The 25,370-nt window shown below is 39.3% G+C and overlaps 2 long non-coding RNA genes across 2 annotated transcripts in view; one reads left to right on the plus strand and one right to left on the minus strand.

The window, feature by feature from the left end:
* LOC105373907 (uncharacterized) overlaps positions 1 to 6,044 on the plus strand; it is a 40,025-nt gene extending 33,981 nt beyond the window's left edge. The window contains exon 5 of the long non-coding RNA NR_187973.1: positions 5,020 to 6,044. This is a non-coding gene — a long non-coding RNA (uncharacterized LOC105373907). The remainder of the gene's footprint in view (positions 1 to 5,019) is intronic.
* Positions 6,045 to 10,853: 4,809 nt separating this feature from the next.
* LOC124907987 (uncharacterized) lies at positions 10,854 to 12,522 on the minus strand. Its single transcript, XR_007088098.1, has 2 exons — positions 12,396 to 12,522; positions 10,854 to 12,151 (listed from the first exon to the last, which is right to left on the minus strand). It is a non-coding gene; the product is annotated as an uncharacterized LOC124907987 (long non-coding RNA).
* Between the last annotated feature and the right edge of the window lie 12,848 nt (positions 12,523 to 25,370).

The raw sequence follows: 25,370 nt of genomic DNA on the forward strand, positions 1-25,370 counted from the left end.
TTTTCTTGTGGTAGGACCTTGTCTTTATAACCCTCACCCCAGTCTCAATCAAGTGGCCCAGTTTCTGTTTTAGACCGTTATTTAAAATCCTGACTGTTCCAATATACTAATGAGGCACCATTATCTGAGGGCTGTTTTTCAACTGCCCTGGTTTCTTGTTTGTATTACTACTGTCATCTCTTGGCCTAAATATTTTTTATATTTAATGATGCCTTAGTGCTTCTATCCTAGGCTTTTTAGCAAAGGCAGCTAATTTAAAAATCAAATAAATGAGTCTTTCTGGACTTCTAATTTCTAGCTCAAGGCCAGAACTACTAGACAATTAACTCCTTTAGATTTAAAACAAATAGAATATGAAGTTTAATCATGTATTTAATATAATTCAAAATATAAATGATCAAAATAACGTGAAAGCACTTGTTTTGTTGTTCCATGGGATCACAACAATTAAGAATCAAAGTTTCTCTTTCTTTAACTTTTAGAGAAGAAGAAAGACTTCTTAATTCCCAAAGGTAAAGTCCTCATGAATCATGACTTAAAAGCCAGTTTCTTCAACACCACGCAGGACTATGACTCATACCTTGTCTTTATTTCATGTTGCGATTCCTTAAGAAGGTATAGGTTGGCCAACAGAATTCATCTGGGTAAAGGATGTGAGCCCCAACCTAATCAATATAATCACTATTTTTGTCAGCACTGCCTTTTGTTTTCTTAACATCTACTAATCAGAGGAAGATGGTTGTTTATTTCCACTGGTTCCATCAGCATTTAACTTTCTAAGGACTTACTACTGTGGGCCAAATTTGACTCACTATTTGAGGTTATTAATAGTCTCCATAATGCTACTTCCTGATTGGCTTGCTACCCTGAACTAACATGGAATTCAATCAATGTTTCCGCACTAGAGTGCATTCATAATTTCAGCGAATGTATTTTGAAGCAAGGAATGGAAACCATATGTAAAGTGTAAGAATCAACAAAACTATGTATTTCCTTGGTCTTTGGGTTTGTTTATATCCCTTCTCATCTCAGAAAGAATTCATAGTGCTTCTGTGGCTGTATTTAAATTAGGATCCTTATACAGGGAACATGAGTTGAACCATCCACATTGTCTTTTGAAAAAGGGATTAAACATACCTCTCAGAACCAGTGCATTCCATATTGAAGCAAAGATCACAAAGACTTGTTTCAAAGCTGAACAAGTTTCCACAACTATGCTATTGTCAGGCTACTTCCCATGAGCCACCCTAAGGTCTGCACTAGCAAAAAGCCAGCAAAAGCAAACCATGTCCGGCTTTCTCAATACAGATTATCCAACCAACAGCTTAAATAGGTATCATCTGAGTTTTGTTACTTTACAAATGTAAGTAGAATATATCATAGTATATTTTTAATTTCACAGTAAGTAAATCAACAATTACTCTAATTCTACTTACATGTGAAATTATTTTAAAATAAAGAATTTTTGACCAATCAATTTATATTTCAGCTTTATTTCTTTCTTCTCCATTTCATTTTAGTATTCAGATATCTGGTTTCATTTCTGAGAATAATATTATGTAGTTGGACTTAATGCCATCATAGCCAATGGAGAATAAAATATACCCAAACGTTTCTATAGGATTGCTCAGCAAATGAATTACCTATAAAAATAAACACTAGTATTGTTTTGTCCTAACTACACTGTGAAAATGTGTCTTTCCTCACTCAATAAGGGTATTTTCAGGTTCATTATTTCTGCTGAATAATCTAATTCCCTGCTTGTGCCCCAAACTTAAACTCAGACAAATGATGTTCTATTGAAGGCATTTGAGGTTACATTGTGATGGGAACATGGAGAGATAACAACACCAACCAATATTTGAATATTGCTTTATAATTCACAATGCTTTTCACAGACATTATGCTATATGATACTCTCAAATCACATGATTTTAGCCCAGGGAGAAACTTTAGATATAATATGGTCTAACCTCCTCATACTGAATCCCGGAGAAGTTAGTGATTTGAACAACGACTCAAGGTGCATAAGTATGAGAGCCAAGATTGGAATCCAATCCTTAACAATAAAATAGTGAAAATAATCTCACTGAGGTCTCGTGATGATCATATATTCTATCTGTAGTATTTTCACATGTTGTGACATTTTTTTCAACTATTCCAACATAACTGTTGGGTTTTTTTTTTAATAAGAAATTATAACCAAGTGCATTGTAGGAACATGCTTAGCCATGATGATCTGAGCCTCAGGTCCCTCATCTGTAAAAGATGGCTAATTTGAACATATGCCCTCTCAGGACATGCTGGGCCTTCGTAGCTTGTGTGCTGCTGTCATTTCTTTCAGCCCATTTTGGTGAAGTATATTTAGTTTACTGACTTAGAATATAAAAGATGCCCAGATGATGGAAATAAAGAGACATTCTTTCCAGATCCGACAGGGGGTGTTATCATTAGAAATGGGAGGTGGTTCTTCAAATCTATCTGCCAATATCTGGCTTGATCTCACTTTTGGTTTAGTACAGGCAAATAAAATAGTAGGACAGACACAAATCTCTAGGTCAGAGGCAGAAACTCTCGAGAAGGCCATATGGTTATTCATACCAGTAAAGGTAACTAATGAAGTACAAATAGCTTTTCTTGTTTACCCTGGAAATCCCTTCATAGGCAGCTTGTTAGTTGGTCTCAGATTGTTTGGAAAGTCCAAGAACCAACACAGATGAAGTGCATTAATAGACAGTGGTGGCAACAGCCAGGGTTGAAATGCTAGTGTGTTCTTAGAGTGACTGAACTGTGCTTGTCAAGGAGGGAAGGGTTGTGGAGACCCATTCACCCATTGACCCATCCACCTGACCTTCTCTGACACCTCAGGAGGTATATCTGGGCCCTGTCCCCCAGTGAAAATTCTGCTTAATCCCAAAGTCTTGAGATGTGAGGATTCCTACCCACTGATGTTTGGTGTCTGTCATAAGGTAGGCACTGAAGGCATCCCCTCAACACACATCCAGAGTGCAGGTATTCCCCTCCCCTAACTTTCCTGCCAAGAGTCTCAATTTACCAGCAAAGAAGTTCAACCTGGGCCACATGGCTGATTCATGATAAGAAGTGTTCTTCAGGAAGAAGCCTCTCCCTACTGTTATTCAGTGATGTGAAATTATAAAACTGGAATCCAAGAAATCATGAGTGGCAAGACCCAGTGTATAAATCAGTCCCTGACTTCCATATCTGTGCTTTCCATAAGATGTCACCAGCTCTCTTGTTGCCTGACATTTAACACTCACAGAGCAATGAGTCAGACAGGCTGGAATAAAACATCAGGCACCTGGGTTTCCTTGTTAACTGCCTGGTAATCATTTGAAACACCACCTCCAGTACCAAGAAACAACAGTCCCTGATGGTGGAAGAATTGGGGCACAAAATCTTGGTATGGAGCATTATGTTAAAATCCCAGCCTTCTATCCCCATATGAACAGTGACCTTAAAAAGAAAATCATGAGATTGAGTCATTATTAACATCCAAGTCTTGTAAACTCTTATTTATTAAAAAGAAAATCATGAGATTGAGTCCTTATTGGCATCCAAGTCTTATAAACTCTTAATTATACTTTAAATTCTAAGTCCAGCAGCTTAATCACCTGTTTTTAGATTTAGCTGTTGGCTACTGAGAGCTTAGAGATTGTGTGGTTTGTTCAGGCAGCCCTAGTAGATTAAATGCCACTTATCATCAGAGAAAGATTGAGAGAGGTACAAAAAAAAAAAAAGGAGAGAGAGAGATTGGAAAGAGAAGTAATTGTTGTTTGAGCTTACTATTTATATTTCCTGACATTAATTGGTAGCACCATAGAAAGTACCAAAAAGTCAACCATGTACTGATGTTAGAAATATAATTTCCAAGTGTAAGTACCACAGTATTCTGGATATCTTGTGTTTCACTTGACGTCTTCAGAATTATGCAAGTGATTAACAAAAAAGCCCAATAATATACCCATCTTTTAGTCCATTAGTTTTTGTTTTCAAGTATCAGTTATTAAGCGCTCACTACATGCCTAGTACTGTGGTGAGAAATTTACTTCCATAATCTTACCTAATCCTCACAACAATTATTTAAGATAAGTATTATTATCTCATTTTTTTTTTTTTGAGACAGAGTCTCGCTCTGTTGCCCAGGCTGGAGTTCAGTGGCGTGATCTTGGCTCACTGCAAGCTCTGCCTCCTGAGTTCACACCATTCTCCTGCCTCAGCCTCCCGAATAGTTGGGACTACAGGCACCCGCCACCACACCCGGCTAATTTTTTTTTGTATTTTTTTAGTAGAGATGGGGTTTTTCACCGTGTTAGCCAGGATGGTCTCGATCTCCTGACCTCATGATCCGCCTGCCTCGGCCTCCCAAAGTGCTGGGATTACAGGCGTGAGCCACTGCGCCCGGCCTATTATCAGATTTTTTTTTTATTATACTTTAAGTTTTAGGGTACATGTGCACAATGTGCAGGTTTGTTACATATGCATACATGTGCCATGTTGGTGTGCTGCACCCATTAACTCATCATTTAGCATTAGATATATCTCCTAATGCTATCCCTCCCCCGAAAATGTGGCACATATACACCATGGAATACTATGCAGCCATAAAAAGTGATGAGTTCATGTTCTTTGTAGGGACATGGATGAAGCTGGAAACCATCATTCTCAGCAAACTATCGCAAGGACAAAAAACCAAACACCACATGTTCTCACTTATAGGTGGGAATTGAACAATGAGAACACATGGACACAGGAAGGGGAACATCATACACCAGGGACTATTATCTGATTTTAAAGGAGAAAAGTGAGACAACTTTCTGATCTCACACAGTAATTAGGAATTTAAACTCAGAGTTGTCAGATGCCAGAGGCTACCCTCTAAAGCAGTACACTAGACATCTACCCCAAGATGAACCTGATATTGATAGAATCTCAGTTATTGCATTCTGGCATTATTGATTATCTTTGTAAACACTTATTATTTTCACTGCTTTTTCCTAGTTATTAAAGAAAATCTTGATGCTAATGAAGAACACTGCACTCCAATTCGTCACTGAATTAATTTCCTGAGTAAGGAGGAGAAGGCGGTATTATTTTCAGGACAAAGATTAGCTTCATCGCTGCCAAAAGCTTGGTGTTACACTAGGATGTTAACGATGTGTCATTTTGGAAGTGAATCACGGACATAATCAAATTCCACTTCTGGCAGCAGAGAAGAGAATACAGCTGTGTATAACTCTGAGCTGGTTCTCTTATTCACATACACCATCTGCTTTCTGTTGCTTTAGATAAAATTTTTTATTTCAGGATTTAAAAATGCTTTAAATTCAATAATTATCTAACTAGTGAATCATGTGAAAAAAAAACAAGATAGAGACAGCATAATGCTTTGTCTTCTAGTCTCTTCTTGTCTAATGGTATTTCAGTAATGAGGTCTAGATACATGGTGACATAGCAGGTATTCCTTTTAATTATCAGCCTGAGACAGAATAAGAATGGGACTTTCCCCCAACCATGTCCCATCAAGGACTGCAAGCTGGTGAGGGGAAGGGCTCCTGGCCAGCAGAGACCCCAATCAGATCATTCAGACCCTGCATCATAATCTTGTGCATGGTGCCATAGCCACTGACTACAGGAAATTGAAGAAGCTAAAATAAGCAATTCCCACCATAAATCTTACTCAAGAGAGTCCACCCTAACTCCCACATATGCACAAGACCAGGAGATGACCAACCCTTAACCTCAGCTTCATTACTAAAAATCACATACTAAAAATCACACCCAGGGGTAGAGACTTAACATGCAAATGAGACATGCAACATATGAAGAAGCATGTTATCAAACTGCCCAAGTGCTAACAGTTCCCTGCCTCTGCATACCCAAACACCATTCCTTTCCCTCTGCAGCCCTTTTAAAACTGTCTTTTCATCTCCCTCTGGGGAGCCAGCCAGAAAATTCTCTCTCTCTGTTGCTGCCTCCTTTATGCCCTGGTGTAAGTTCCAATAAAGACTTGTCTGGGCAAACTCTTTGGGCCTCATGTCAACTTATATTGCATTGAAGGTCCAAGAACCCAGGGTCAGTAACAAGCCAGCCTTTAGAGTCAGTTGCTCTGGCAAGACCAGGCATTTTGGGGAAGACCTTAACTCTTCCAGTTCAGTCCTGGCAACTCCTTGGGATATTCACATAAATGGTTCAATGCACTGAGCACAGAGACAGCTTGAGCCAGGGGGTCTTTGCCCTGGCCAGCTGTAAGGTTATAAGTCACAGTTCAAAGTGAGTGTGAGACTCTCTCAAGCCAAAGTTGGTTTTATCCAATCAAGAAGAACCTTCAATGGAGATCTCTGGTCTCTACCAAGATAAATTCAGGTCATTCAGAGCAGTCCAGCAATTTCAGGAGCAAAAATAATCAGGCTAGCTCTAGTTCCTAAAAGACGTGAACTTCTGCAAGGTATTTCATCTCTCTGGGTCCTGATTGCTCATCAGTGAAATGAAAAAAAATACCTTCCTAAACCTCTTATGAATTTAGGAGGCCAAGATGAAATAATAAGCGGGAAACACCTTTGAAAGTGCTTTATTCCAGGTGGTGGTGACATCATTAGTATTGTCTATTTGCTGCTGATGACCATCCCCTTACAGGCGATCCCTGGACAGCTGTGGATTTTGAAAGTTCATTATATTCTCCCAAGGTTGCAAATTCAGGTAAAGAACCAATATGCATTAACTGGTCACAGGCAAAGAATCTTTGTGGGCAGCAGCTTTCAATCTTTTCACCACTCCGACGTGTGTATCAGATGACTTTTACATTTTACACATAGCTAGATTCCTATAGATATAAAACAGCAACCTAGTTGTACACACATGCCTTTCTTTCCCACTTCAAAAAGTAAGTGGGTGAAAATGAATCCATCTGTGATATTGTGAAATATATATTTGGTCTTCTTTCTTATTTCCTGGCATAGAACTTCTAAAATCCTTGGAATCCCTCAAGTGCTATCTTTTTGTATGCTAATGGTGACTGACAGCTTTAAGATGAGGGCTGGTCACAGGAAAAACAAAAATATGAATGGGGGGTGGGACTGACAGTCCCCTCCCCAATCTCTCTTCTGGGGATAGGGGAGGAGCTGAAAGTCAAGTTGGTCACCTATGGCCAATGGTTTAATCAATGCCTAATGAATCCTCTTTAAGAACTCAAGAGAACAGGGTTCAGAGAGCTTCCAAATAGCTGAACACGTGGAGGTTATTGGAGGGTGGCGCTTCCAGGGAGGACACGGAAGCTCCTTAACATACTCTTTCACTTCTACTGAGAGAGGCAGGATGCAGAGAAATCCTAGGCAGACAGGGGCAGATCCCTGGTGAAACCCCACCTTCAAGCTGAAAAGCCTGAAACCCGTGGCCCAAAGTGAGAACTTCTATCACTGTTTGCCTGCTGTCTCCTGATTGGCTCTTTCCAAATGATGTCTTTTTACCAATCAAACGTTGTCTTTTCCAAAACTACCTAAGGCCTTCCCCATTCCCCATCCTGTGCTTATAAAGACCCCAAATTCAGTCAGTAGAGAGACAGAAGCCACTTGACTGGAGAGAGGTAACTTGACTTCAGAGGGGCAACTGTACTTCGGAGGAGAGATGGTTTAACTTTGGAGAGGTGGCTTGATGTCAGGGAAGAGCCAGCCAGAGCCAGCTGGACTTTGGGGAAAGATTACCTGCCCACCCCATCCTCTCTCCAGCTCTCCTCTCCTCTGAAAGCCATTTCCATTGCTTAATAAAATTCTCCACCTTCACCATCCTTCAAGTGTTCCAGCAACCTCATTCTTCTTGGACACTGGACAAGAGCTCAGGACCCACCAAGTTCAGGTACCAAAAAAAGGAAGTCGCACTGGCCCTTTGCCCTCACTGGCAGAGGCCAGCTGCCTCACGTGATGAGGCAAGGGGCCCACTGAGCTGGTAACACACTGCTGTCCACAGATGGTGGAGCTAAGAGAACATTGTACATGTGCTCTGGGGTTTCGGGGGTTGCAGACACCTCCACCTGGGTGCCACCATGGGGCCTGCATGGAGCTTGCTTCTGCTGGTGCCCAAAGCAGCCAGCTAGATCCCACACTCACTCACGAGCTCCCTCCTACAAGAGGTTGAGCATGATGGGCCATATAGATGGGGTATCCCCATCACAAGTCCAATAAAGGGGTTGAGAAAAATCATGCATTACTACCTCTCCGTGTGCAACACTTCATCTATATCCTTTGTAATATCCTCTATAATAAAACAGTAAAACATAAGCATTTGCCTGAGATTTGTTCCAGTAAATTAACGAAACCCAAAGAGGAGTCATGGGAACCCCAACTTGAAGCCAGTGGGTCAGAAATTCTGAAGGCCCAGACTTCAGACTGGTGTCTGAAGTGAAGAGGGCAGTTTCGTGGGACTGAACCCTCAATTTGTGGGACCTGATGCTATCTCCAGGTAGATAGTGTTGGCACTGAATTGGAGGACATCCAGTTGGTATCTGATGCAGGATTAATTGCTCACTTGGTGGTGGAGAGAAACCCTCCCACACACACACATTTGGTCACAAAAGTCTGTGTTTATTGTGTGTTGTGAGGGCAAAGAAAAAAACATTTGAGAGTTTTTTCCAAACACCATTCTATCTATATTTTAAAAAAGAAATACTTCAACAACTTTAACAGTTATTAACAGCAAATTATTTGTGGCACTATTGTGTTATTAACCCTGGGATAAAAGCATTACTCTAGAGAATAAATTGAACTTTCCTGACTTGGAAGTTCAATTGTTTCTTTCTAATTAGGAGGCATAAAGCCTAATTTAATGCTAAATTACAGTAATTTTGTTGGCTTGAACTTTTTTCTGTTTTCACTTTTCCCTCTTCTTCACGCTTCTGTAACTATTTTAAACAACTTACTATATATTCATTTTATTATAAATGACTAGGATCTCTTTTTGAAAAAAGGTGGGATTTAAATCATAGCTGACAAATATATATATTCTGAGATCCTCCAGTTTAATAGTCCAAGCAGTTCATTTATTGCAAATGACTTACAATGCAAATCATGTTCTCAAGTAGGAGAAATAGCTAAATTTGAAATTTTCCACTCAATATGTTTACCATAGAGGAACATAAAATTGACCATTTTCAATTATTTTGAAAACAATGAAATGGAAATAATAATGGCCTTCTCAAGAAGGGAAAGAATAAAGTGTACACTTTTCATTGTGTTTATATTGCAACTGTGAAGTATGCCACATGTGGTTTCTAATGGAACTCTTAAAATTTCCCCTGAGTCATCCCAAATTTTATACTTTTAAAAATGCAGTATCTTTTCAATTAGAAGTGATAGAAAACACCAAATAGTAACCTTACAGAGTAAGAAGCTTATCTGCGTGGTTTCCACGTCTAAAAAGGGCAAGAAACTAGAATCAAATCATGGGAAAATGTTTTACTGTGTACATGGAGATTCTAAGAAAGACAGTGGTCACAAATTGTATGGGAACAATGGCCTAATTTTTCAGTTATTTTTGTGATAGTAGATGGTTTGCAAAATGGCCCCAATCTGATTTTGCCTTGTGTCAACACTCAGTTTCAAATGATTTTGAAGCTTCTCTAGTCAAGAATGGAGTCTTCTCTTCCTATTCCTCCAAGACAGGGACAGTGGTAGGGAAGCAAGTGGCTGTAGAGATAACAGAAGAAGAAGAGATGGAAAGTGACATAGCAGAAGGGGAGGGCCCATATTTGAATTTGAATTTTGGTAGGCAGTAGTGATAAAGGCTACAACCAGCAGAAGTGATCATGACCAGGAAGAGGTAGGCTTAGGGTTGGAGTTGAGATTTCAACATAACGCTGGCTGGAGAATCTGGGCTGGCTTGTCACATGTTTTGCCCAATGCAATGAGGAAGAAGTGATAGGGCACTAGTTCTGAGCCAAGGCCTCCAAATACCTTGATTCTATTCTCTCCTTCTTGTTCCTGTGTCTTTGAGGAAACTAGCCTGTTGGAACACAAGATCACACAAGGAACAGAGCTGAGTTGTCCACCTGAGATCATCCTAGACCTTTCACAGCTGACCATAGACCCATGAGCAAGCCTAGATGACAGCAGCTGACCAGCCCGCTCTTAAACTTATTAAAAATAACAAATTCTGTCAGTTTGTATTTCACACTATCCAAGAGTTAAGAATGGCAGAAAATCATTACACTAATTGCTGACTTCAAGAATTAAGACTCAGAAGTGGTGGAGTTAATTTCCCAAGGTCTGAGCCTACCTGTGACTTAAGCTCTGATCTTCTAGCTCCAAGAGTAGGACCTAAGTTGAAACATGAACACACTAAACTCATTTGCTGTTTCCCGAATGCCATTGAAATAATACCTTTAACTCAAAATATGGAAGCCTTTTTCTTAACAGTTTCCTTGGGCTTAAAATTCTCTAAGAGACTCCAAAATGATTTAAAGAACCTTAGATGGGAGAGCTATAATGGGTTGTTCAGGGAAACACAGCTGTTAAGGCAATATTTTCTGCCTTCTTTTGTCATAGTTATCAGAAATTAAATACCATGTTGAATGGATCATGGCTTTCTCCAGGTATGAGAAGGGTCAAGCATTTTTATACATTTTATACATTTACCTCTGAGCATCAGGTAAACAATATGGAATATACTTCCAAAAGAGCAAGTGAAATGCTGTGTTTCAAACCAACAGAATCCTATTCAGAGCAAAATGTTGCCATAAGGCCAAGAATGATTTTGCTCATCAAAAACACACTATCTGTATTTTAGGTTAGAGCCTCAAAGTTCCATAAAGATTGAGTGGAAGTCTATATAAAGTTAGAGTAAAGTCCATAAAGTTTAGAAAGTCTATAAAGTTGGAGTGAAGCACATCTTGGTAGATAGGCATAAGTACTGACTAAACTGCAAAGATTAGCTTCTATTTCTTGTATTACTAATATCACTTTTGAATCCCACCTTACCTATAAATCAGCTGAGTACAGATGCAACTTCTCAGGAATGGAGGGTGAGCAGTAAGCACTGTGGTGCACAGAAACAAGATCAAGTTGGGAATTGGAGACTTGTGCTTCCTGAATCTTATAGACTGAATTGTGTCCCCTGAAAAGTCATATGTTGTCATCCTAACTCCAGTATCTCAAAATGTGATTATATTTGGAGATGGGTCCTTTAACAAAGGGATTAAGTTAAAATGAGGTCATTACGATGGGCCTATCCAATATGACTGGTGTCATGAAAAGAGGAGAATAGGACATTGACATACAAAAGGAAAATCAAATGAGGACACAGCAGAAGTTGGCCATCTATAAGCCAAGGACAAAGGCCTCAAAAGAAATCAATCCTGCTAACACTTTAATCTCAGATTTCTAGCAATCCAGAACTGCAAGAAAATAAATGTCTGTTGTTTAAGCCACCCATTGGTACTTTGTTCTGGCAGCCCCTGCAAAAGAATACACTGAGTTTGAAAGAATACACTGAGGAGATGGTTGATTCAACCACAGCTTCATAACGGAAACACTTAAGGTGTGTAGGTGCAAATAAGTTTTTAAGCAATCAATGTTCTAAGACAGACAAAAATAAAGTGCTGTGAGAGTTTAGAGGAGGGAAAGGTTGGCATTTTTCCTTTACCCAGAAAATTAAAGCCAAAAGGAAAAATTACAAAGAACATGAGTTTTCAGGAATTGTTCAACCTGACTTGGAGTATTTAACATTTTTATCTACAGGGCTGTCACCTTCAGCATGTCTATTTTAAAGTAATTTAGAGGGCTCAAAAGATGTAACATTTGGGAGTTGTGCATTGCATTGTAGGAATTCAATATAGGAATAAATTTGCCATAAATAGTGAGGTATGGATGCTAGATGCTAGAAATATAGGTTGGTGCAAAAGTAATTGTGGTTTTGACGTTACTTTTAATAGCAAACACTGCAACTACTTTTGCAGTAACCTAATAGAAAGGGGTCTTGAAAGGGATCTCACTCACGTGACCCCTGAGGTTTGGACGGGTAAACTGGAGTCCAGAGATGTTTAGTGACTTGCCAAATGTCACTCAATGAGTCCAATAATCCAGGGCCAGAACTGGAAACAACGTAGCTTAGGTTGTTAGAAAAACAAGGTATAGAGCCAGTTATTCTATATGATAAAAGCAAAATGAGATACATCAATTCACTCCCCAATATAATTAGCAGCCCAATATCTTCGTTGTCTCAATCAGAATAAAATTAATCTCGGTTTACTACTAGAATTTCCTACTATAGCATTTTCATTTGTTCAACAATTAACAGTAAATTATTCTTTTGTTCAACCATTAATAGTAAACTATTTAGCTAACGTCTATAAAAAATACTGCAATGCCTTCTGCTGTTAAAAATCTTACCCTGTAGTCTCAAAATCAATTCTTCCCTCCTTGATGTAGCACCAGGATAATTGAGTTTCCTCCTTTCCAGAAATACTGGAGTAGATTCATGAGTCAGACATAGCTTTGGACTATGGAGCTCAAAAACCTGGTTATAAAACAAAATGCTTTTTTGTGTTTCCACCTCATGAAGGTAACCCTTACCTCTTCATGACAGGCAGTATGTATAATGGTTAGTAGCATGGGCACTGCTACATACCAGCTATGGAAACATGGATCCACTTTTTAAAGAGGTGATGATGGTAACAATGATGCCGTCCTCAAGGAATTTGTGAGGACTCCACTCTTTTCTTGGTTCCTCTGCTACATGGCTACTTCTCCTTCTTAGAATTAATAAAGGGATATTCCTCATTTCTTTAGCCTTAAGACACTGGAGTACTGTTAGTTCCATTCTGGAAACTTCTACATCTTCCTTCAATCAGTAAGTGAGCTCACAACATTCATGTTTGAAATGTCATCTATATACTAATAATTCTTAGATGTATATATACAGCCTTGGCTTCCCCTTAAACTCCTGATTCAAATCCTCTGCTCTCTACTTAATATCTACTCAATATTAGTAGATAGCTACTAATCTGCTTATATCCAATTTGCTCAGGCCAAACTCCTGATCCCTCCACACCCATTCCTTACACAGTTTTTCCCAACTGAGTTATGTCACCTACATTCTGTTATTATTCAAGGCAAAAGCTTTGCAGCAATTGTTGGCCTTTTTGTTTCTCTCACTTGCCCTATCCAGCCTATCAGCAATCCCACTGGCTCTGCCTTCAAAGTGTGTCCAGAATCTGACCCCTACTCACCGCCTTCATCACTGCCACCCAGGTTTAACCCACCTTCACTTCCCCCTTGTATTATTGCAAAAACCTCCTGACTGCTCTTCGTGATTCTGTCCTTGTCTTTCTAAAATCTATTCTCTAGAGAGATGTCTTAGAAAAATAACTGAGACGTAGTGACTTTCGTACTCAAAACCCTCCAATGGCTGTTATCTCATGAAGAGTAAAACCCAAAGTCCATCAAATGGCTGGAAAGGGTCCAGCTCCCAATCATCTCTGACCTCACTCTCTTCTAATTTATTCCTGCTCATTCTGTTCTACTGTACTGGCCTCCTTGGTCTTCCTTGCATGGGTTCCTGCCTCAGGGCCTTGGCATTTGCTGGAATGACATTGGCTGGACTGACTTTCCCTCGGACATACATGATTCACTCACTCTGTCACTTGTTTCAGCTCGTTCACCAAATGACATTGACTCTGAAAGGCCTTCCCTTACCACAGTCCTATCTAAAATAGCACACTTCTTCACTCTACTGTGTTGTGTCTATTTTCTCTTTGCTTCTTATCTGTCTTCTCTCTCCTTGAGTACAAGCCAACAAGGGCTTCTTTTTACACTGCTAAGTCAAGCATGCCTGTGATTAATGCACATGGTAAGTACTCAATAAATATTGGTAAAGTAAATAAACAAAAGAATCCTCTTATTCCTGATGAGAAACTTTCAGTGACTTTTCATTGACCACAAAATGACATCCAAACTGTTCCTTTTAGCTTTCAAGGCTTTCCATAATTTACCGTTCCAATTTCATTTTCCCACTAGACACCAAACCTCAGCCTGGCTATTTTCCGAACTCTAAGCCTCTCCTCCTGCACTCTACCCAGATGGTTCCTCACCATCTCAACATGCCCCTTGCTACCTGTCCATCAAAGCATGGCTCACCTGCTATAAACTCCCTTGAACCTCCCCTGATTCCCATAGCCCATGCTGTAGTACAGATGTTCATAGACATGTTTTTCCTTTTTGAACAGAGACTCTTCTTAGCTACTCGTGTCATCCATGCTCAGAGCTGGAACTCCAGTTAAAAATGAGCTCATTAAATAAATGAATTCTAGCCAAGATTCACTTTAGCCAAGAACCTGACAACCTTACAAGCAACATTATGGTTTCTAGATATTTTTCTCATTCCAGTGTTGTAAGAAGGATTTGAAATTTTATTTTTCTGAAGATACATTTTTTGCTCATTATATACACAAAAAGTGGCTGGTCTCCATATTGTAGATTAAGGAAGCTCATTGAATTAAAATGAGATCATAGGGTCTGTTTTAAGTGACTGGGAATTCAAATGTTAGGATTAAATCTTCAGAGAAAGACTACAAATTAAAGAGCCATTATCCAGATGTTTCTGAATATCTATCTCTACCTATGTCTTATTCAGCTGGTCATTTAGTTAAGTGAAGGGTGCATGTGGCTTCAGCTTTTGACTACCGCTGTCTTTCCTTCTCTAAAGGAAGCCTCACTGAGTACCCAGGCCACACCTAGTTACCTTATCTACTCCACAAATAACAAGCAATACCTCCAACCCCATAATTCCAGCACTGCTGGAAGGTGGGCTAAGTGGCTCACTCAGTGAGTTGATAGTCTGTCCTGCCCCCCACAGATGGGACTACAAACCAGGCCATGTCTCAGGTGACAGCCAATTTCCAAATGAGGCCAAGAATATTTAGAAGTGGTTACAGCTCTGATTTGGGATTCGTCTCCTGGAGATGCCATGGTGCCTTTTTAATTTCCTGACATTTTCAGACATGGAGAAAAGAATCTGGCTGATGAGTCACCAATATTAATGGGTTTTTGAATCCTATTCGCTGTGGCAGCTGCCTCTTCTTTAGTTATTCACACACAAAAAAAAGAAAAAGACTTTCAGGCAAACTCCGAGAAAGAAGCAGTGTTGGCAGCCATTCAATTGTCATGTGTATTCTCAGACCTTGGCCCCTGTTTCATGGGGAGGGGAGTTGTTTGTTTTTTTGCCTTGTGTGTGACTGTTTGAGAAGCTGAAGATAATTGTTATATACATACTACCTTGGTGGAGTGGGCTTCGTTTGTTTGATGGACAGAAAACACCTCCAGAGCTCAAATCTTGTGATTCTGCTGAGTCATAACAGAATAGAGGGTTGTATTACATTACAGCACTTCTTGTTTTCCTGGTTCCTGAATTCTGCTTTTACCTGCATGCCCTGATATGAAAAAGGAAAAATATAAAGTGAAATGTTTGTGTTTAGAATAGCTAATTATACTTCACAAACTTCCACACAAGTCCAAGGTTTGAAGCCAAAATATTAAAATAGTTGCATCCTTGCTACCTTTAGGGTCCTCCAGTTCCCAACATCCCAAGTGTATTTTAAAAGCAGCCCTAGCTGGCTCCCAACAGTGACTGTGAGCTTGCTAGATAACCAAGTCTCTTCTTCCTAACAGAAAAACATAACATTACCTATCCCTCTGTAAGTATGTGGTAAGAATTCTCTATTTCCTATTCTTCCTGTGCTTTTTAAACTAAAAGGAGTATATGGGCCAAGACAGCCCCTTTTGTGAGTTAACAGAGGACATTTTTTTCTTCACAGACCAAGATCTCTTGAGTTCTATCATAAATCATGAAACCCGTGCCAGGGTCCAAACTAGTTCTTCACAATCAAACAAACAATTAGCTCTGAGGTCACATTGTGGGGATAATGGGGGTAGGGAGGGAAGAAAGAAAATTAGCACACACATTATCTGAGATTTTATTTCACAGCACGCGTACAAAGAAGTGCTGCATCCAGGGCACAAGAGATTACTGATGAAAGGAATTTACAGTGAAAGATAACGAGGGAGCTTTCAGCAAGCCATCAATCTGTGGGCTGTTCCTGGAAGCCCCTGGACAGTCGGAACACAGACCGTGCTGAATGGAAGCAAGGTGACATTTAGAGGACATGGTTCACTGAAAAGAGCAAACGTATGCAAACCCAGGAATATCATCTTGTGAGGAAATAAACCTTGCTGCTGTGAACACCAGTGTTGTAGCTGTTGAGTCTTTCTCAGCTTACAGAGCAGAGCCTTTTGGCAGCCTGGGAATACTGCAGAAAACGAGAATAACTGCTGGCGCTCACTAGAACAGCAGACCCAGCTGGGAGCAAAGCAGAGAGTTGCAGACACTCTCTCTTAATCAAACTTTGTACGAAGAGCTTGAGAGATTATTTCTTTGTCTTACCCATTTCACATCCTGTTATTTTTTTTTCTGCGTAAGTTTCAGTATGAAAGAACTGTGGATATTCTCTGAATTTAAGTAAATCCATTTAAGAACAGAGGTAATTAAAATTAGCCCAGGTGCAGTGGCTCACTCCTGTAATCCCAACACTTTGGGAGGCAGAAGTAGGCAGATCACCTGAGGTCGGGAGTTCGAGACCAGCCTGGCCAACATGGTGAAACCTTGTCTCCACTAAAAACACAAAAATTAGCTGAGTGTGGTGGTGCATGCCTGTAATCCAATCTACTAAGGAGGCTGAGGCCCGAGAAGCACTTGAATCTGGGAGGTGGAGATTGCAGTGAGCTGAGATCTCACCGCTGTACTCCAGCCTGGGTGAAAAGAGTGAGACTCCATCTAAAAAAAAAAAAAAGTAATTACTCTTAAAAAGGCTGTGTATATCATTGTTTCATTAAAGAAAATCAAGTTTCTGACCAGGCATGGTGGCTCATGCCTGTGATCCTAGCACTTTGGGAGGCCGAGGCAGGTGGATCACTTGAGGTCAGGAGTTTGAAACCAGCCTAGCTAATATGAGGAAACCCTGTCTCTACTAAAAATACAAAAAAAAATTAACCAAGGGTGGTGGTGAGTGCCAGTAATCCCAGCTACTTGGGAGGCTGAGGCAGAAGAATCACTTGAACCTGGGAGTTGGAGATTGCAGTGAGCCGAGATCGCACCACTGCACTCCAGCCTGGGAGAAAGAGCAATACTCCATCAGAAAGAAAAGAAAGAAAAGAAAAGAAAAGAGAAAAGAAAGAAGGAAGGAAGGAAGGAAGGAGAAAAAAAAGAAAAGAGAAGGAAGGAAGGAAGGAAAGAAATGAAAAGAAAAGAGAGAAAGAAAGAAGGAAAAGAAAGAAAGAAGAAAGAGAGAAAGAAAATCAAGTTTCCAAATGCCAGTCTCTTTATTTCCTTGAGGGAAAGTGTCCCGAGGAGGACTCATGTGTGCAAAGACTGACAGTGGCATGGAATCCCTCTCACACCATTGCATGTTCCTTTACTTTAACCATTTTTATTGGTTATGCCTCTATACACAAGACCACATGTTTCTTATAGAAATTACTTGGGGAAAAAAAGTCAATGAGAGCTTAATCTTCTGTGATGCTACCTATCAGTAATCACATCATTCATGCTTTAGCTATAATCTTCTGGACTTTCTTTAGTCAATATATACTTGTACCTATAAACCTATAAATGTGTATACACCTACTTATATTCTTTTCACAAAGGGAATCATCTTGAAATGTATTAAATATTTTGTAATTTGCTTTTCTTCACTCAACAATGAAGTATGTTGGTGTAGTTTGAAATGTACTAAACCTCATGTTGAAATGTAATCCCCAGTGTTGGAGGCAGGGTGTGATGGGAGGTGATTGAATCATGGGGGTAGACATCTCATGAATGGTTTAGCGCCAACCACCTGGTGCTGTCCTCCAGATACTGAGTGAGTTCTCATGAGAGCTGGTTGTTTAAAAGTGTGTGGCACTTCCCCTCTCCCCTCTTCTTGCTCCCACTCTGCCGTGTGAGATGCCTACTCCCCCTTCACCCTCCACCATGATTTAAGTTTCCTGAGGCCTCACCAGAAGCCAAGCAGATGCCAGTGCCATGCTTCTGGTACAACCTACAGAACTATAAGCCAATTAAGCCTCTTTTCTTTATAAATTACCTAGCCTCGGCTATCTCTTTATAGCAATGCAAGAATGGCCTAACACACATGTACATCTTTTCATGTTATTAAATATACATTTGCATCTTCATTCTAAATATCTGCACTGTGTTTTCTAGTGTAGATATCCATTAATTATTTAACACCAAAATCAGAGACATGTCTGAAATAAAACTACAAGTCCCAATTTCCCTGGATACTCTACTCAAAATGTAGTTTGGCATGCATCCATGCACACACAGCCATGCATTTTGTCTCATAATATAGTATTAGAGAAGGCTGAAGTGAACCTGGGAAGTTATAGAAATCCTGGAAGAATTAAAAAACTGGGCTAAATGCTTGCAGCATTTTTCCAAATTTGATGGAGCATGGATTCACTATAAACCACTGTAGATGCCTTTGCCTGCTGTAACCCCTACCACTGTTGTTTTTGCACATAGTTGATCTTCAAAAGCATTTGTTGATTTTAAAGGAATGAAGGAAGAGAGGACACATGTGATCTTTACCATGAGCTGGAGAGCTCTGCACTTCAGCAATTGCTCTTTATATCCTCATACAGCTGCGGGTAAAGCATAGTTCTCTGGAAGGAAGACAAAGGGGAAAACAGGAGGCCTCAGGCATTACTAGATGGAAACTCCTTAAGAAACCGTAAAACAAGGAAAGCAACTTCTCTCTCAATACTGTAAAGAAAGATATTGGAGAGAAGGTGAGATTTGGCTTAGTGTGAACAAGCCACAGCTGAGGAGATCATAAGGCCTGAGTACTTAAACATTTAAGTTCCATGCTTTAAATGTTAATTGAGATTAGCTTCAATTTCTGTGCAAAATAAAAAGGTTATCTGGCCAATGTGTACATGGTTTCCAGAATCAATGAAAGAAATGTATGAAATTGGCAGGTGAAGACTGCAATTTCTATTTCATAAAGAAAAATAGGTAGGAAATAGGTAGGCATGTGTGTGCCTCTAAAGAGTGAATGATGACCAGTCCTGTCAAAAACAAACAAAAAAAATCGTTCAAAAGGTTTTAAGGTCCCTGTGCGACGTAGAAAGAAGCTAACCTTCGGTCTTCATGATAAGCCATCAAGCCAAGCTAAGCCTGCCCACATTTCTTTCCTGTAACAGCTTAAAAATATATATAAAATCTAACAGGAATATCACTTTACAAGCAATCAGTAGCAGGACTCCAGCTGATTCCAAAATCATCTTTTTATTGTAACATGTCTGCTAACCTTCCATTTTATAAAATATCTTCTATACTACTTTCAGTACTTCAGAATATTCCTAAATGTATATACACTGTGGATGGATTTCAGATCTTTTTGGCCACAAAGGCCAACAGCAAAAGCCAGCCATCGCGTTCCAGGAACGGAGGTGCAAAATGCCGCTCAGATCACACACTCCTGCCTTGTGTTTGGTGAGAAGCAGCTGCTTCTATGTCAAGTTTATCTGTTTGAAATATTTACTGTATGTAATTATCACTTGGCTGGTGGGCCTTTGCCATAGAAACTGTCTTAGCAAACACGATGAACACCAGCGGGAAGATGAGCGCATATTTGGAAGGACAGAAACCCCTCTGCAAAACACCCCAGTCTTGAGAGGAACAGCTTCTGTGTGTGAAAACTTGAGAAACAAGTACTGGTTACATAAACAGGAACATGATGGAACCAAATGCTATTCCAGCCTTTTGCCATCATGCTTGGTTTTTGGCATAGAGAGCCAGAATAAACGTCCCAGTCTAAAGAGCTCACCAATTGAGGTAACTGGAATTACAATTATAGGAGTTCCTCAGACCCTTCCTACTCAGCCCTGCCAGCTTCTGACCATAAGCTGCAACCAACTAACTCAGTCCTATCCACTTTCTAAGATAATTTATTTCTTCTTTCAACAATTATTTTCACTACATATATGTAAGGTGTACAACATGATATTTCGATATCCTTAATTCATAGTGAGGTGGTTCCTATAGTGAGCACCAACTAATGCCCGGCATTCAGCTAGGGGCTGAGGATTCAGTAGTGAATGAGACAGGTAGGATCCATAGGGTCAGACACTGTTCTAATGGTCCCTAATGCTGGTTGTATCCTATTTTAGCCAACAACTGTAGCTATTCCTGCTCCCCCCTTCAGAAGTTTCCACCAACGTGTTCTCACTGCCCTGGAGGTCCCGTGCTAAGCCCACAACCCACCTGATCAATTTCTCAGAAATCTGATTACATCTCTTTAGTTATCACTTTTTAGATTGCTGGCCAACTGCTCCTGATCCATTACTACAGTCCTGAGCATGTCCGGTCAAATCTTCTTCCCCCTTTCCCACCAGCCAAGGATACAGTTCTAACATATTATACAGATATTTTGTATCTATTTTGTTTACTGAGGTTCGTATGCATATATATATTTATCTATTTTGTTTATTGAGCTTTGTTTGCATATACATATATGCATTGAGATTAGCGTCAATTTCTGTGCAAAATAAAAGGTTATCCGGCCAATGTGTACATGGCTTCTAGAATCAGTGAAAGAAATGTATGAAATTGTGTACAGTGAAAATGAGTACAGTAAATAGTCAGTTTCTCCAAACCAATTCAAGGTTATGTTGCTCACCTATCCTCATCACGCTGACCAAACTAACCTCCAATGGAAGGAAAGAAGGCGTATACATATATGCATACAAAGCTCAATAAGCCCAAATATGTAAGGGTTTATTGAGGTATATTTTGCAATAAAATTCACTCAATTTAGTGAATACTTCTGGGTTTAATAACATGCATATAGTCAAATAATCATCACCATAATAAAGATATAGTGCATTTTCATTAACCACTAAAATATTCTCATGCTCCTTTTGTAGTCAGCCCTACCCCCAGCCTCTGTAAACCACTGATCTGTTCTATTTCCCTATAGTTTCGGCTTGGAATCTGATATTCTGGAAAAACCAAAACTATAGCTTATAGTTTCAAATCTGATCAATGGAATCAAAAGGCATGTAACTTTTTGAGTCTGGTTTCTATCACTTAGCATAATGCATTTGAAATTTCTCCATGAGGTTGCATGTATCAATAGATCTTTTTTATTGCCAAATAGTACTTCATTATGTGTACGTACCACCATTTATTTTCCCATTTGGTAATCAGACGACACTTGGGTTCATTCCAGTTTTTAGCAATTGTGACTAAAGCTGCTGTAAATATTCATGTACAGGTTTCTGTGTGAATATGTGGCTTTATTTCTCTTGGGTAAATATACAGGCAAGGGATTTCCAGGCCATACGGCAAATGTGTGCTTAGTGTTATAAAACTAACATTTTTTAATGACTTTTTTTTTTTTTTGAGACAGAGTCTTGCTCTATCACCAGGCTGGAGTGCAGTGGCATGATCTTGGCTTGCTGCAACCTCCGCCTCCTGGGTTCAAGCAGTCCCCCTGCCTCAGCCCCCCAAGTAGCTGGGACTACAGGTGCGCATCACCACACCTGGCTAATTTTTTTGTATTTTTAGTAGAGATGAGGTTTCGCCATGTTGGCCAGGATGGTCTTGATCTCCTGGCCTTGTGATCCACCTGCCTCGGCCTCCCAAAGTGCTGGGATTACAGGTGTGAGCCACCGTACCTGGCCAATGACTATTTTTGGAGCTAGCAAGTGCATTTTTATGTTAATGGAATGAAGATTAAACCTGGAATTCAAGGCACACATTTGAAACTAATAATTTTCACAGCTTTAGATAAATTCTGTCATTATTTTTTAACTCCTTTCCTTGTCTATGAACATGGATTATCATCATTCACAGAGTCATTTCAGTGTAACATAAGCTAACTATGGGAGAGCCTTATAAAATGTAAATTATTAAACTCTATTATAAATTACGATTATATTACATTATTATTACATTTTGTTACAAATCTATTACAAATGAGAGGTCACTGTTGTGTTATGATGCATGTTGAATGTGGTTGACACAAAACTGAAGTCACAGGCACCCTCTGCCATGCATTTGTACCCTTTGTCCTTTTAAAGATTCTAGGGTTGCTGTGTGTAATACAGTAGCCACTAGCCACATCATTTAAATTTAAATTAATTAAAATTAAATAGAGTTAGAGATTCAGGTCCTCAGTTGCACTAGCTGCATTTCAGGTGCTCTGTAGCCTCATGGGGCTAGTGACTACCTCACTGGACAATGCAGACTATAAAACATTTCTTTCATTACAGAAAGTTGTAGATGGTGCTGATCAAAAGGGCAGATACTATGCCCTTGCCCTTCTCAACAAACAACCTGGAAAAAAAATCCTAGAACCCTTTTACAACTCAATATTAAAAATTTGTTGTGACCACTATTATCTGTTTTGATCTTGAGACTCTTAGTCAGCCCTATAAGCCCAAATACCCAGGCATCCACTGCCTCGTAAAAGTAAGGTACATACATCTACCCATGAGTAATGAAATCATTCTACACATTTCTGGCCTGATCCTATATTGATCTACCCTTTTCTGGGTCCTTACTCACGACTGTTTCTGTTTATTATCTTGTTCTTGCTCCTTTTAGCATGACCTTTGCACCTAACATCTCTGACTTCAATTCTGGATTCCTTCTCTGCTTTTCTGGGGTATCCATCCCAAAAGAGTACAGTAAATAGTTTCTCCAAACCAATTCAAGTCTATGGGGCTGACCCATCCTCATCATGCTGACCAAACTAACCTCCAATAGAATGAAAGAACTGCACCATAAGGGCAGCAGCAGCTGTTCAGGTTAGGTCAGTGTTGTGAACCTTTGACAGGGGTCATGAATTTCAATGCCTTCAGGAGCCACGCAAGCCACGTAAATGAATGAAGCAGGCTGAGAGGAACAGGAGGCAGTGGAAGAGATAAGGCAGATGGAGAGCATATGCTCTACCACAGAAAGCAATTCAAATATCAATAAATAAACACTCTGTGGCAATTGCAGGCACAGAAATTAGAAAAGAAGACATTACACTATCTATGTTTGCAGATGATGAAATAGTGCCCTGGAAAAAAAGGCCAAGAGTATCAATGCTAAAATTAGTAAAAACAGAAAAAAAATTAGTAAGCTAGAAAGATAGAATACCAGCATACAAAAATTAGTAATCTTATATATACAAACTTTAATCAGCTAGAACATAACCCTATTTATAACCACACATGCAAAAAAAGAAAAGATGAAAAATTTGAAACAGTCAAATGAAGAAGGCTTTCAAATATTTCCCCCAAAAGACAAAATTAGATTGGGATAAATGCAAAAACATCCTTATTCTTGAACAAAACAATTCAACATCATAAACTTGTCAGGACTTCCCATTATATAAATTTAATGAGACCCCAATTTTAAAAACTAAGGCGTTTGCTTTTCTGGAACTAAATAAGTTGATTGTAAAGATTACATGCATTTTAACCATTCGAGAAAATCTAGGAAAACCCTAAAAAGGAGAAATGAGTAGAGACGAATTCTGCCAGATTAAAACTCAGTATGCAGGCTGCATAATTAAAACAGAGTGGTCCTGGGGCCCAATTAAATGAAATAGAAAGTACACAAATAGAAAGAAAAAGATTGATACATTCAACTACAGCAGTGTAAAATAAAACTTTTTGCATGGAGAAAAATGCTGTCAGAAAAGTAGGAAGGTAAATTATAAACTGGGAGAAAATATTTGCTTAGACAAATTTGGTTAGACAAAGTACTAACCTTGTTAATTTGTAAATAAGTCCCTAAAAATAAGAAAAAAGAAGCACCAAAAACCTAATACAAAAATGGACAAAAGGGGAAGCTCTGTATTGTTGTCCACAGCTGCAGCATTTACATTTCCATCAACTGTGCACAAGGGTTCCAATTTCTCAAAAAAATTAAAAAAAGAATGACCATCCAGTAATTCCACTGCCAGTTATATGTCTGAAGGAAATAAAATTTTTATCTCAGAGAGATAACTGCACTCCCAAGTTCATGGCAGCATTATTCACAATAGCCAGTACATGGAAACAACCCAAATGTCTATGAATGAATGAATGAATGAATGAAAGAATGAATACAGAAAATGTGGTATAGACATACAATGAAATTAATCAGACTTAAACAATAAGGAAATTCTTCCATTTGAGACAACATGGATGAATCTAGATGATATTATGCTAACTAAAACAAGACCAGTCAAAGAAGGACAAATACTGCATATTTCCTATTATATGAAGCATCTAAAATAGTCACACTCATAGAAGCAGAGAGTAGAATGCTGCTTGCCAGGAGCTGGGGAGAAGGGGAGATGAGGAGATGCTGTTCAATGGCTCTAGTCTCTGTTATGCTAGATGAATAAGTTCTAGAGATCTCCTGTACAGTACAATGCTGTAGTTGACAATATTGTTTGTGCACATCAAAATTTGTTAGGAGAATGGATCTCATGTTATGTGTTCTTACAAAAACAAAACAAAACAAAAGGACATAGGGAAACTTTGGGAGATAGATGTTGGATGTGTCTATTACCTTGATTGTAGTTGACGGTATCAGGGATGTTTACATACATCTAAACTCATCAATTTTTTTTTTTTGAGACAGAGCCTTGCTCTGTGGCCCAGGCTGGAGTGCAGTGGGGTGATCTTGGCTCACTGCAACCTCTGCCTCCAGGGTTCAAGTGATTCTCTTGCCTCAGCCTCCTGAGTAGCTGGACTACAGGCATGCACCACCACATCCAGCTAATCTTTAGCCCGTCTCTCTTTTAATAGAGACAGGGTTTCACCATGTTGTCTGCGCTGGTCTCAAACTCTTGACCTCAAGTGATCCACCTGCCTTGGCCTCCCAAACTGCTGGCATTACAGCCATGGGCTACCATGCCCAGCCTAAACTCGTCAATTTTTATGTACACATTAAGTATGTGCATTTTTATGTACCAATTATACCTCAATAAAGCTGTTTTAAAAATTAAAAATAAACAAGTAAAAATTAATTACATTGCACCTAAAAAATGAAAAAAGACTTGAACACATAGTTCAGAAAAAAAGACACATACGAATTGACATGTAAGCAAGAAAAGAGGCTCAATTTTTCTCATAATAAAACAAATGCAAAGTACAACACCGAAATACCATGTCTCACTTACAGATTGACGAAAACCAAATGCTTGAGAAAACATGCTGCTGGCAAGGTCGTGAGGTAGCAGACACTATGGTCATTCCTGGTGAATGTACAAAATCGTACAAATCTAAGCTGGACAATTGCAAATATCTTACAAAATTATATGCATT

Source organism: Homo sapiens, chromosome 2 (assembly GCF_000001405.40).
Source record: "Homo sapiens chromosome 2, GRCh38.p14 Primary Assembly".
In the NCBI taxonomy this organism is placed as follows: Eukaryota; Metazoa; Chordata; class Mammalia; order Primates; family Hominidae; genus Homo; species Homo sapiens.